This window comes from Homo sapiens, chromosome 10 (genome assembly GCF_000001405.40).
Source record: "Homo sapiens chromosome 10, GRCh38.p14 Primary Assembly".
NCBI classification, from domain to species: Eukaryota; Metazoa; Chordata; class Mammalia; order Primates; family Hominidae; genus Homo; species Homo sapiens.
In genome coordinates this window covers 78,355,719-78,369,329 of record NC_000010.11, presented here as the reverse complement: position 1 = coordinate 78,369,329, position 13,611 = coordinate 78,355,719, and the positions used below count along the sequence as shown (strand labels likewise).

At 51.5% G+C, this 13,611-nt stretch overlaps 1 pseudogene; it reads right to left on the bottom strand.

Moving 5' to 3' along the window:
- Positions 1-1,706: 1,706 nt before the first annotated feature.
- LOC124902568 (uncharacterized) lies at positions 1,707-1,823 on the bottom strand (annotated as a pseudogene).
- Positions 1,824-13,611: the final 11,788 nt, after the last annotated feature.

Below are 13,611 nucleotides of genomic sequence, written 5' to 3'. Positions count from 1 at the left end.
CACGCCCTGACAGCAGGTGCTAAGCTTCCTCCTCTCTGTCACTTCATACCTGCCCAGGTTGGTGCCCACATGAATAGGTGGGACTTTGCTACATCCAGAGGGCCGGCTCCCTGCACTTCAGGAGATGTTTCCTGCCCACTTCCCATCAAGGAGGCATTTGTCACAAGTGGATCCCTAGGAAGAACCATGGGATGAAGATATAGAGCATGGAACTGCTCACTGCCCCAGCGAGGGCTTCCAGGAGGGGCAGCAGGCAGGCCCCACACTGCACTCACTTTGGGGCCCCGAGACGAGGCCACGTGGGGAAAAGGAGCTGTCATGGACCTTCTTCCATGAGAACACCAGGGTCATCCCGTCCTGCTCCACGTGCTCTTGTCTGCTACCACAAGCTTCTCCTTCATGCCTCGAGAAAGATCCTGACATTACCTAGAGCAGAGGTACCCTGAAGAGGCCTTGACACATCCCAGAGTCAAACCACTCACTGTACAACTACAGGTGCCAAGGCCAGAAAGGGCAAGCTGCTCATCCAACATCACACAGCCGCTTGGCAGATCTGAGACCACAACCAGGTCTCTTGCCTTCCAGGAAGTTACTCCTTCTAGCACCCCACAGTATCTTGCAAGAGTTTATTTGCGCCTCCATGTAACTGCCAGACCTCCACAGCCACAACAAGGCTCTTCTAGTTAATATACCTGCTGAGGGACGTGTGGGTTCAGCAGGAGTGATGAGAAGTGGACTGAGACTCAGAGACCTGGGTTCTAGGTCCACCTGTGGCACGTCCCATGCCTGGGCCTCCAGGAGTCTGGAAGGCTGTTCTCCTCAAGTAGGAGGGGAGGGCCATGGACTAGGCCAACATGAATGGAGGCAGGGGAGGCATGGATGCACGTTAAGAGAAGACTCCAGAATCCACCCCCCTGTGGTCCTCCAAGAGGCTTGTTTCCAGGCAGCTTGTTTTCAAATGTCTTTCACTTGGGGCCTCTGCTTACAGTCATCCCAAAAGAGATTGCCCTATTAAAATAAATAGGTGACCCGCCAGCCCCAGCCTGGGCAGACTCTGTCAGAGGTTACACTGTGGCTCAGTGGGAAGAACTGCACTTGGGCAAAGGATGCCCCAAGACGGCCTTAGCCTCCGACCCAGCCACTGTCCCAAGGCAAAGTTTTGAGAAGGAACAGAAAACCAGCACTCTTTGCAGGCAATGTGTGTACTCTGAAGCAGGCTGCCAGGTGCTCTGTGAGACCACAGTGGTGCTGCCTGGCAAGACAGCTACCATCATCTTTTCTTTAAATGGCCACATCCAGGGCCCTCAGCCTGGTTTGAAATAGCTGCCCCTTCTGCAGAGCATGCCAGGAGCTGCTGCCAAGGAGAATAGGCTGGGCTGGAGTCGAACAGAGACCAGAGCGACACATCTGGCCAGCATGGCTTGGGTGTGCAGGGAGCACTAGGGTAGTGATGTTTCTGGGGTTCTGGGATGACAAGATTGGCAAACTCACCCAGCCTGCCCTCACACTTCCCCAGGCCTGGGCTGACACACACAGAAAGTCAGACAGAAAAAAGTTTCTTTTATTTCTTCTTCTTCTTCTTTTTTTTCAATGTATACCTTGGTTAAAGCCTCACAGACACCAGCACTGAGCTTCACACAGGGAGCACACCATAAGCGAGACACCAGGTATCAGGAGGCATCTAAAAGGTGACAGAAAAGAGGAGGTGTGGAAAACTCCAGAGTTTAGAAGGGACAGGAGTGGACCCTCCAAACAAGGGGGAATGCTTTCAGCAGTTTCTCTCCCTGCACTGTCAATGACCAGGATAACTTTCGAATATAGGGGCGCAAAATTTCAAAGACCTAAAAGTGAGGAAGGAGGGGAGACTTGGAGCTTGAAGTGCCTGGCAAATGAGGCAGCAGCGGAGACAGTGAGCCTTACAGTCTTGAGAGCCTGAGGCCCCGACCTCAGGGGAAGGCGGGGAGACTGCAGCAGGATCAGAGACAAATTGCAGCGAGTTTTCAAGAGGCTGGGGAACAAGAGGTCAGCAACGGAGAGGCCGCCGTGGCCTCCACTGACAGCTCATGCAGTTGATAGACCCCAGAAGGAGATGACCAGGCTCCATGTGGATAGGAGCCAGGGGGCTGCACACCCTGCTCAGAGCTGACAGCCAAGGGGGGCGGGGGACCCAGAAGAAAACAGCTCTGTTGTTTCAACACAGAGAGGACAGCCACCCACTGCCTGGGGCATTCCCGAAGACTTGGAGCCCCACTGGGCCTGAGGAGGCCGGCTGTGGGCAGTTGGCCCCTGGTCTCTGCTTTGCAAGAGCTGTTCTTGCCCCTCTGTGTCTGACTCCGTGGGGTCCTCACACTCCCTCAAGTCGCACTGCCTGTCTGCACAGACGCCACTATTTTTCTGGAGAGATCAAATTCAGCACAATAAAGCGACACTTGTTAAAGGACGTAGCAAAATCTGGTTTTCCAAGCCTAGTACTTTTATCATACGAACACCAGAGACTCTAAGGGATCTTGGAGCCCAGTGGGGGTCCAGTGCTTCTGGTAGCAGAAAACTGCTCTTCATGTATAACCTTCCTTAGAAAGCTGAATGTAGGACCAATGAAAGAAAAGCCACTGTGGTTGGAGTAAAGGAGGTGGGTCTCACCCCTGCCTACCCCCTTCCCTCTCCCCATCCCTGCCAGTGAGCCCCAGTGTTCCACAAATAAGAGTTTGGAAACTGACGGATTTGTCCAATCCCCACATTTTACAAATAGAAAAATGGGATCACAGAGAGAAAAGGGCGCTTGTTCAAGACCACACAGCACTCCAGAGTTTGGGACCTAGAACACAGTAAGAAAGGAACAGTCCTGGTCATGATTTTTCTAGTTTCAGAAAACCATGGCGCATTCAACGTGTGAACAGAGGTCCCGGGAGTCCCCAAACAGTCTTAGGCAAAGTTCCTTCCCCTTGGAGAAGCTGCACACCCTCCAGTAAAAAGAAATCCTCTTATTGCTGCAGAAACTGCTCTTCTCCTTCCTGGACTGCCTTCTTGGGTCTTTCCCTCCCTTTCTTTTCAACAGTCAGAGCAGACGCAGCCCCAAACAGTTCCCCGACACAGAGCCAGGAGCCCTCACTCCTTGCCTCTAATTACCCTGTGATAGATGTTGGCGTTGCTGCTAAAGGTATCTGCGTTCAGGCTTTATGGTCATTTTCCAACAGCCCAGACCTTTTAAACTCTCTTATGGGAGCAGGTTAAGATGATTATGCAGATGGATGGACCCCGGTGCAATATTATGTCAGCAATGGAGATGTAGGAGGTGCAAATGGGCCATGATTACCACCAAGAGGAGGCTGCTGCAGCCACTGCAAGCCGAAGGGAAGTACACAAGATCTCTGGGCTCCAAGAGCAGCCTCAGACACAACACACACTCACACACGCTCCTCCTCAGCCTCTCTAGTTACTTGTCTGGCTACAGTCAGACTGTTCCCATGGAAACGTGAAAAGTCAACCATGGCTGTTGGGATGCCAGGAAGACACAGGTCTGCTGGAAAGAGAAGCAGCCAGAACCCAGGGAGGTCCTGCTCTCCAGCTGACTTGATGGGGCTGGGGGGAACCAAGTCAGATGCAGAGCTGGACCCCAAAGGACAGCACAAAGAGCAGTCCTGGGGACCAGCAGGCTCCAGTCAATCACTAGACAAGGGTGAGGTTACACACCATGGTGTTAATGCTGTGGTCCTGGGCACCTCCTAGAAATGGGCTATGCATTGGGCTCTGTGCTTCCTAGCAGACAAAGCGGAGAGGAAGACGCAGTCTCATTCAGCCTGGTTTCCACAGATAAAAAGGAACTCTCCATAATCGGCCCTCCTTTTCCTGGTTCTAAAGGTGAGAAAAATGTCTCCCAGCAATTTCCTTAACACTCTTCCTCCTGCAATAGGCACAATAACTAGCTTCTTAGGGGCTGCTTCTCCCAACATCCTGCCTTCAATACAAGCCCAGGGTACCACACCTAAGTGGAGCTAGGTGGCAAGGCAATGCTACCTGGAACAGAACACACGGCAAGGTAGGGGATGGTCTGACTTCAAATGAAGGAAAGGCACAGGCTCTTCTGGGAGATGGATGGGCAGCACAACCTTCTGGTAACCCTCCAGAAACAGAGGGTCTCCTTCAGACTGCAGAGTTTATGGTTGTCATCTTGGAAGGGAACCAGCAGGGCAAACATGCTGTGTTCCAAGCAGTGGGTGTGAGTGATGTATGTGGAGCACCTGGAGAAAACAGGTCCCAAACAGCAAGACTTACAGCAGTAGGAGCGTTGAATACATGGTTGCTCCAGGCTCACCCTGGCCTTGGTCTTTGTAACTAATCTTAAGACCACGTGTGAATGGGGTTGATGTTCCATGCTGAAGGCCCATGTCTGGGCTATCTCCAGGGCTGGGTTGAGCCTGGGCCTGAGAAGAAACAGCCATGGGAAGCCAGGGGACAATGATGTGGGAACCAGGACAGGGAGGCCACTGCCTTTTCCATACAGATCCCTCCCCTGAGTCTGAGTTTAGGAGCTTAAGGAAGCCGAGGACCTACATCTTCTGAAGCCAGAAACTGGAAAGAGACAGAAGTGAATTATTTCTTGTGATAGAAGCAGGGAATCAACGCCAGCTCACATTGTCCCACACCATGATTAGAAGACCTCATTAGCCAGGCATCCAGTGTCAGGCACTGTCCTGAGTAACGTGCATTAATCACACTTCCCTATGCCTCATAATGAGCCTGCAAGGGAGATGTAATTATCCCTAGTTTATAGGTGGGGATACCGAGGCCTAGAGAAGCTGTATGACTTCCCCAGCGGTACCCAAGGTGCAAAGGGGCAGGCCTGGCAGAGGGAGCCTGCATAGGAGTCCAATAGACCAAAAGAATCAGCATCAAATGGCCCAGGCTTTGGGGCCAAGCTCATCTGGACTGGAAGCCCAACGTGGCTACACCTTACTGTGTGACCTCAGCCAAGTGATTTAACTGCTATGAGCTTCAGGTTCTTCATCTGGAAGTTGATGTTAATTATACCCATCCTCAAGAGTCATTGTCAAGACGAGTGATGTGATACAGGAAGTGCCCCTAGACCCACCACTGTGGGTGCCCACTAACTGTGAGAGAGGGTCGCACTCTGGGAAGGTGTTGGCTGCCCTGTCTAGTGTATCCCTCTACCCGCAGGGTCTCTGAAGGCTGGCACAAGATAAATAGGCACTGGTGAAATAGCTGGGGAACAAACATGGGGTTTTTTCTTATTGAAAAGCAACATATGCTCACAGAACACGAGAAATGGAAACATGCATTTTTAAAATGTCACGCCAGAGTCCCACCTCCAAAAAAAATAATCCCTGTTCTGCTTTTTCTTTTAGGTAAATCATTCGAGTCCTGTGAATTCCTCTTTCCCAGCCAAGATTTCTGCCCCTGGTATTTTAGCCAAAGACTTCCCCAGACAAACCAAGCCAGGAATTGTCCTGACGCTCAGGCCCCTCCTATGAAAGCCACTGGAGTGAGGACCCAAAGGGAGCTGCCTCATCCTCCATCCTGCTCGGATCTCTGCTGCCCACCCATCACCTCCACCTGCTCTGCTGCAATCAATATGGGAAGTCCTCCCTTCTCAGAAATGCTGGCTACTCAAGTGCTTGCAGCTTCAGAGCTGCCACCATGTGAAGAAAGTGTCCAACTAGACCCTTCAAAACAGAAGCCTTGGGGTGAAGGGAGGAGTGCCCAACAGCTCACTCTGAGATGTTTCTGGGAAGTGCTCCCTACCATGGCACGGTCTCCAGGACCCTTCATGACCTGCTCCCTGCCTGTCCCTCGCCCCTTCCCATCATGTCATCTCCTCTATGCTCCAATCACACTCAGCATCTTTGCATTCAGCCCCCACTTTCATGTTTCATTCCCTCAGCGTAAAATGTTCTTCTTGTGTCTGAGTGGCAAACTCCTACTCATCCTTCAAGGCCCCACTCAGACACCACCTCTTCCAAGCCAGGAAGCTTCCCCTAAATCCCCAAAGTTGGTGATTTGGCCCTGCCCTGTGTTTCCACATCCCTGGGCTTGCCTCCACTACAGTCCAACCACCCTAGTATCACAGCCTGGTCATTTGGCAGAGCAGGAGCTCCTGGCGGATGCAGGATGGTGGCTGGTAACTGTTGGAGAATTCTGCCACCTCTCAGTGAGTGCAGTGGGAGCTGTCCCATGTCTATGCCCCCCCAGGGTTTAGAGCAGGGCCTGGGACAGAGTCAGGCTCACTGAATGTCCAGGGTAGGAAAGCAGGGAGGACATAATAGGGAGGAGGATCATTGGGTGGGGAGACAACAGGAAGCTGAGTGGGTCCCTCCTGTGGGTCTGGGGTTGGCTACTTGGGCCCCCAATGTGATGAAGAAACACCAACTCCACGCTGAGAAAGCTGTTGACAAGCAGGCCCAGCAGGCTGTCTATGGGATGACCACCAACTGCCCTCTGCTTCATCTCACCCCTGTCCCCATCTAGAAGCACTCAGGATAGGCAAGAGGCAAAACTGCTGAGTCGTATGGCCTAGCGCAAGGGAAGAATTCATGGTGAGAAAAATGCTCTCCTCCCCTAAGCCAAGCAGGAGAAAGGCCTCCAGGAGAATCATGCCTAGAGACAGGGATGCCTCCAGCAAAAGAAGATCAGCACCTCCCCACCCTAGCTGGACGCTAGCTGAATGCGGAAGTGGCAAGTGCGGCCTAGGGGAAGGCATGGCATACGCCCCTGGAATGTGAACACAGGAAGTGGTGCCTTCTTGTCTGGCAGTCTCAGCAGGAAGGAGGCTGCAGCTTGCTGTAGAGGCCTGCACTTGCAAAATGAAAACAGACCAGAGTTTAGAGGGCTGGGAATAGGATGGGGGATCACCGACCTCATTTTTCCTGGCTTTCCCAGGAGAAAGGACCCGCGGAGAGGACCTTGAGTCTCCACATACACAAGCACGGAAGTTAGAGCTAGGCAGGAGGTGTGGGCTGCCCAGGTGGCTGCCACCCAGATGAGGTCCTTCCTGAGGGCACACTCAGGAATGAGAGAGGTGAAGTGAAGCTGGACGCTGCCCCTGAAGAACCCACACTCACCTTCTGCATGGAGACTACCACTAGAGAGGAGCCACCACTGGGACGGGCAGACGCACACCAGGCAGATGCAGCCTTAACCAGCCCAAGCAAAAGCCGGCCACCTCACTGAGAGGAGGCGAGTGAAGCAAGATGGTCTCCACCCTTCCCATCCTGGAAAACCCAAGAAAGGAGGAAGAAGAATGGCCTCAACATGAAAAAGCCGTTTCTCCTTCCCCACTCCAAGGAGACGGGTTTGACACAGCGGTGAGACTGCTGTTTCTTGTCAGACCAGAGAAGGTCCTGATACATGAAAGTGGCCAGAAGTTATGGGACAAAAGGAGTCAACAGAGTGAGGGGGACAAGAGAAAACAAAACCTTGTAATAACTCCATTCCACTGCGTGGGATCTTCACTAAACTAGTTACGGGGGAAGAAAGAGAGGCAGATGAAAGAGGTGTTGCAAGAAAGGAAAAGAAAGAAAGAATGGGGCAGGAAGGGAAGGTAGACTTGGACATCAGAAGTCAACACTCAGAAGCAGGCACTAAAGCCAGAACCCAGGTGTCCACATCCTGCTACGTATTGCTAATCCAAGCTGAGCCTCTCAGCAACTGGGCAAGAGCTCCCCTGAACTCCTGGAAATAGGTCTGCATTCCAGGAAAGGGCCCCCACTCAACCCAAGCTACACATCAGAGTCACCTGGAGAATCTTTAAAAAATATCTACCCTGACCCTGCTCAGACCAACAGAACCCAGCCTGGTCAGAGGGCTGGGAAATGATCAGTTTAAAAACTCCTCAAGGGATTCGAATGTCCACCCGGGATTGAAAACCATAAGAAAAGATGACTCTCAAAGGTTGCTCTTTGGACCAGAAGCAGCAGTAGCACCTGGGAACTTCTAGGAATTCAGATTCTCAGGCCCTGCCCCTCCTCCACTGACTCAGAGACCCTGGAAGTGGGGCCCAGCAATTGGTTTTGACAAGTGCTTCAGGTGATTCTGACATGAGTCAAAGTCTGCAAACCACTGGACTAGAGTCTATCTGAAGAGAGAAGGTGAAGCAGGGGAGGAGGGAGGAAGTGGTGGTGTGGGCTGTGGGGTAAGGAGAACTGTGGGAGCATGGGGCAGTGAGGCCCTTTCCAGGCAAACACCCTAGGTCCCTGACATCCCATCCAGGCCCACGTCCCCACGTCCCCCTCTCTCCAGTTATTCAGCTCCCCAAAGACCCGTGGGGCAAGAAGCCATGAGCAGAAGGCATCCTGCAATGCAGAGGGTCTTACTCCAGCACAAAATGCTGAGCTCCTGTGAACACGGTCTATGGATTCACTCTTGGTTTCCAAGGCACGTCAGGAGTGAGGGGAGCTGCTAGCGCTCCCATTAACCAACCCTGATTAAATCAGCTGGGCTTCTCAAAGGGTAGCACCACACAAATGGAAACTAATCATAATAATTTACTAATTGTCTCCAAGCTGGAGTCACTCTAATCTCCATGGACAAAAGACAGCAATTAAAAGTCTTCCAAATTCTGAGAGCTGAGGCTGTACCCTTCTCCCAGCCAGGAGGGTGCAGGTGGCAGGGAGCTGTTCTGAGGACCAGAGAAGCAAGGCAGAGGAAAGGGTACAGGGATGGATGCCTCCTGGATGGGGAGGTAGGCAATGACGAGAAGGTCCAGGAACTGAGGCAGGGAATGGCTGCCACCCAGGCTTACTGCTGGGAGTCCTACAAAAGCTCAGCTTGCAGCGGTCAAACTCGCTGGCCTTGGCTTTTACGCAGCAACTAGCTTCTGTGCCACCTCCTCCAGGAAGCCTTCCCAGGCAGCTGCGTGAGAAAATGGGCTGAACACACAGGTGTGGAGCTAAACATTGGGAATGTTCTATTCCTATGCACCAATGAGCTTTAACCGTGTTTTACAGTGGAAGAATCTGAGGCTCCAAGAGGTACCATGACTTGGCCAAGGTCACATAGTCACCTTGAGAGACAGCTGGGATTAAAACCCAGGTCTCCAAACACAAGACTCTTCTCTAAGGCAGAGCTAGAGGAGCGTGTGGGAAAGTAGCTGTTCTTTTAAAGCACTTTCTACCCAAGTGTCATCTTTTCAACTATTTTTAAGGTAATAAGTTGACAGGAGAGTTGTTTTGACTATGGTGAGAAGTCATTAAAGAAAGCAGTGTAAAAACAAGCCTGTAAGACACACAGAGCAGGCAGGCAGAGGGGTTGGAACTTTCGACACGCTGGCTCCCGCTGAGCAATGCACAGGACCCAACCCCCGGGACCCGCCCCCAGGCTCCCTCCTGCTCACCTCTAAAGCAGCTTCTCTTCTCCAGAAGCCCCCCCTAATCTCCTATTACCAGTTCCCAGACCCACTTATGTGAGACTTGACAGCTCCCTGTCTAGACTGCAGACTCCTAAAGTCTTAATTGCTCTTTCATCAACAGAGAAGGGCTGCTTCTTCGTCAAGCAGCCAACCACTCAGGAGTCCTTGTTGAGCTCCTACGGGGTACCAGGCTGCGCAGGGATTCAGAGATGCCTGAGGATTTGATGGATCATCTGGGGTCAGAGGAGGACAGTTCAGACACTGCTTGGCCCAGGCCTCGTGCCAGATGTGAGGCTCCCAGCAAAAGTGAGACTCAAGCCTTCTAGATGCTGCACTAGCCCCCCTCCGCCCAGAGGGAGGGTGAGGAGAGAAACTGGCTGCAAACAGCCTCCCCACGTTGCCTTTCAACAACCCATTCTCAAGGTGCAACAGCCTCAGAGTCCTCCAGACTGATGCCTTGGCACCCACTCCCCTCAGCAGGGATTCCTGGGCCCTCACCTATCACTCCACTCCTTTATTGGGCACTAGTATGTGCTGGGCACTGTACTCAGCTCTGGGAGAGTGGACAAGATTCACACAGCCCTTATCCTGGAGTGTAGCCTCTAGTGTGGTAGTTATCTGCTAATTTAAGGGTATGGGTTAATGGGTTACTAATGCTCCATGGGTCCAGCTCCCACTGGCTGCCTGCTTTCTCCCTATCCTATCTTCTAGACTCCTCACCCCCAACTCTGAGCCCACATAGGCAGCCCTCTCTCCCATAGCAGTCGGCTCTGGGCACCAGCGCTGCCTTTTCTCCCGGCCCACCCACTTCAGCCTCCGTGCAATGTGCTTATCACCATCTGGCTTCATGAGCTGTGGCTACAGCTGAGTGATGATGCCACGTCTCCTGAGGAAGACTAGGGCATGGGGTCCTTGGGCACCTTTGGTGCCTGTCCCCAAAGGATGGTTCCTCAGGGCTTAGTGGAACCACAACCACCCCCTCACATCCAGGGCAGAAAACAAGAGTCCTTCTCTGTCATCATTCTGGAAAGGATGGTTTCCTGGGGACAAGGCTCTGGGTTGTCACAAACAGGATTGTCAAACCAAGAGCCATTTACTCATCGCACAATTGTCTAAATGTCTCTGATTTTTTAAAAATCATTGATTGTGCACAACGTGTCAAGCCCATCACAGGCTTCCACCTTGAATCCCCACCACCACCTTCTGCAGGGAAGAAGCTGGGTTCAGGGTGGGAAGGGCCCTGTTCAGTAACCCAACAAGCCCAGAGATGCTGGAATCCAGCCCCAGCCTGGCTCCAGGGGCAAACCACTGCCCATGGGCACCTTGCCTGCAGTCGCTACCTTTACCACTACTCTCTCAGCTTCTCCAGGCAGGGGAAGGCATCAGCCTTGCTGCGGGTGCCCAGGGGATGTACTGTGGATTAAGTACCTGAAGCTGTGCCTCGCTCTCTCTCCCAGCCACCACTGCGGCAGCAACTGCAGTCAAGATGAAATAGAGCCTCAGAAAAACCAGCAGAGCTGAGGCCATAAACCATCTCTCTCTGCCAGGAATTGCCCAGTGCCTCTCATAGGAGGGGGGACGACTGTCTCAGGATATGGCAGCTAGAATAGGAGAGGGGAGAGCGAAGAGGTCCCTCCTTGATCCACACCATACCCTGGGAGGTTGGAAGGGGGAGAGGGGGAAAATGGATGTTCTGCTAGACAGAGGCCAGATGCTGTTCTATGGACTGCAAGCAGGGAAAGGGTGGCAGGTGGGGTGAGCCAGTCCCGTCTGCAGCTTTCTGCATTGAGGGACCTCTGGCATTGGCCATATTTCTGTAGGAGAGCCCCATGGTGGCCTAATAACAGAATAGTGAGGGCTGTACTGTACTGATATGTCCCTCAAATCTGCCTGAGGGGGGAATCATACCTTCCAGAGAGGAGAACAATGGACACCCAGCTGAGGATGTGTGTGAGTGTGTGTGCGTACATGTCGGCATTCTCCCAGACACTGCCAAAGGAAGAGATCAATTTAGAGAATTAGAGGCCAGCCCACTTTGCATGGCTTCTAGGAGGCATGTACGGTAAATAAGGATTCGAGAAAAGAAATGTTGCATCATTCAATTAATTTTAGCCTTGAATCACAGCGACTGGGTGGGGGAGATTGTGGGGAGAGAGTAATCAATACCAAGCATTCAGCTTGCTAACATGAAGCACATTTCATACAAAGCTGGACATTTTTCTCCTTGTCATACAGAATTATCTTAATTATTGTTTCAAGGAACAGCCTTATATAGCATCAGCTAGTAGTCTGGGAGGCGGCTCCGAAACTCGTCACTGGAATAATTTATGATTTTTCTTTCTAACATCTTGGTCTTGTTTGATATGCTTGCCATTTCTCCCTGACAGGGAGGTCGATTAAATCACATTTATATTGTAAACGTATGCATTGCTTTTTACCCAAGGCGCTGGATGAAGAGATACAGGGGCCCCAAGGGAGGGAGAAGCCAATCCACTTTCATATTGCAAATTTCTGCTGTTCGGAAGAAATGAATGGTTGCCAGGGAGAACTGGGAATTACTTGAGGATGCAAAATGTTATTTTAGAATCCTTTTGAGAGGGTTTTTCCCTCCCCCACCTCCTCCGGCATTTTCACATCTCTGGCTGCTAATGGGGGACAGCACCAATCTCTATACAAATGCCGAAAGAATGCACTTCACCGGCATTCTTCAGGGGATTGGCCTGAGCCAAATTTGGGCTGGCCAACCTTTAAACAGGCTGCCTCTTGGCCTCAAAGCTGGGCGGGGGACATGCAGAGAAAAAAGGAGCCATTCACATTCTGCAAGGCATTTCATCCTCCCATCAGAGGCTAGATGGGGCCACACTCCGGAAGCTGGTTGTTGGATTTGGGTTGGGAGGGGGCTTGTAAATAACAGAAAGTGTTCAAAATGAAGAGTGGAAAGGTCATTAACGGGACCAGGAAGAAGTGACGCTGCACCATCATTAACCTAACCGAACTAATTAGGAAACATTCAGGTTTTATAAATTATGCAAGACGCTCAATTTATACTTTTTCAAATTCCTACCATAACATAGATAATGAGGGAACATTTACAGTAACAGCGTAACCTAATCAAGAAACCCTTTCATTAGCATGAAATCTTCCAACACGGTGTTTGCGAGCACAACAAACGGAATTATAGAAGCCAGGGGAGGACAGGAGGAAGGCTGGATTGCGGGGAGGTTGGGAGGGGAGTGCTGACTTCACATTTGGCCGAGCCCAGGGATCTAAGAAACCTCCCCCTCCCACCCTTGACATGAAATGTTTTCCCCAGGTTGAGTCTTCCAAAAGAGGCAGAAAGGTTCCACTCACTTCCCAGCCCACTCTGGGTGATTTATAACTGCCTTCTCTGTAGTGACCCTCTAATACTATTAGACTGATAGCCACAGCTCAGACCAGCCCTTTCTCTGGGCCAAAAATACCCACAGAGGTCACGAGTCAGGCTCCCATAGAAGGTGTCATCCTCCATAAATGTTAGACACTTGCCTTCAGTTCCACTGCCAGTTGGTTTAAGCTTGCTGCCAGTGGACAAAACGTAAGGGGCATGGTCAGGGGCTACCATGCAATCACAGAATTCAAGGGGACCCCACCACATTGTCCCAGATCTGTGGAGCCCATTGAACGCCCGCATAAGAACTCAATGCCTCCTGGGGAAGTGGCGTCCATGCTGGAAAGTCAGAAAGGCTCTCAAAGGCTCCCATGGGGAAGAGAAGAGGAGCATTGGCTGCCCCTGACCTCCACCACCACTGGCCCACTCCATAGTGGGTTGAATGGTAGTTCCTGTATTAGTCAGCTCAAGCTGCCATTAAAAAAATACTACAGACTGGGTAGCTTATAAAACAACAAAAATTTATTTCCCATGTTCTAGAAGAGTCCAAAATCAAGGTGTTGGTCAGGTAGCTTTCATCCTGAGGCTTCTTCGTATGGGCTCATAGGCAGCCGAGTTCTCACTCTCTACTCACATGGCCTCTTCTTCCTGCAAGCTCTGTGGTTTCTCCTGTAACAAGATCACTAATCCCATCACCTCACAAAGGCCTCATTTCCAAGTGCTATCACACTGGGGGTTAGGATTTCAATGTATGAATTTTGGGGGGATGCAGATATCCAGTCCATAACCCCCCCATACTCAGAGCATGTGCATGTGACCTTATGTGGGATAAGAGTCTTTGCAGATGTAACTAAAAGGAAGGATTTGGATGATATCACACTGG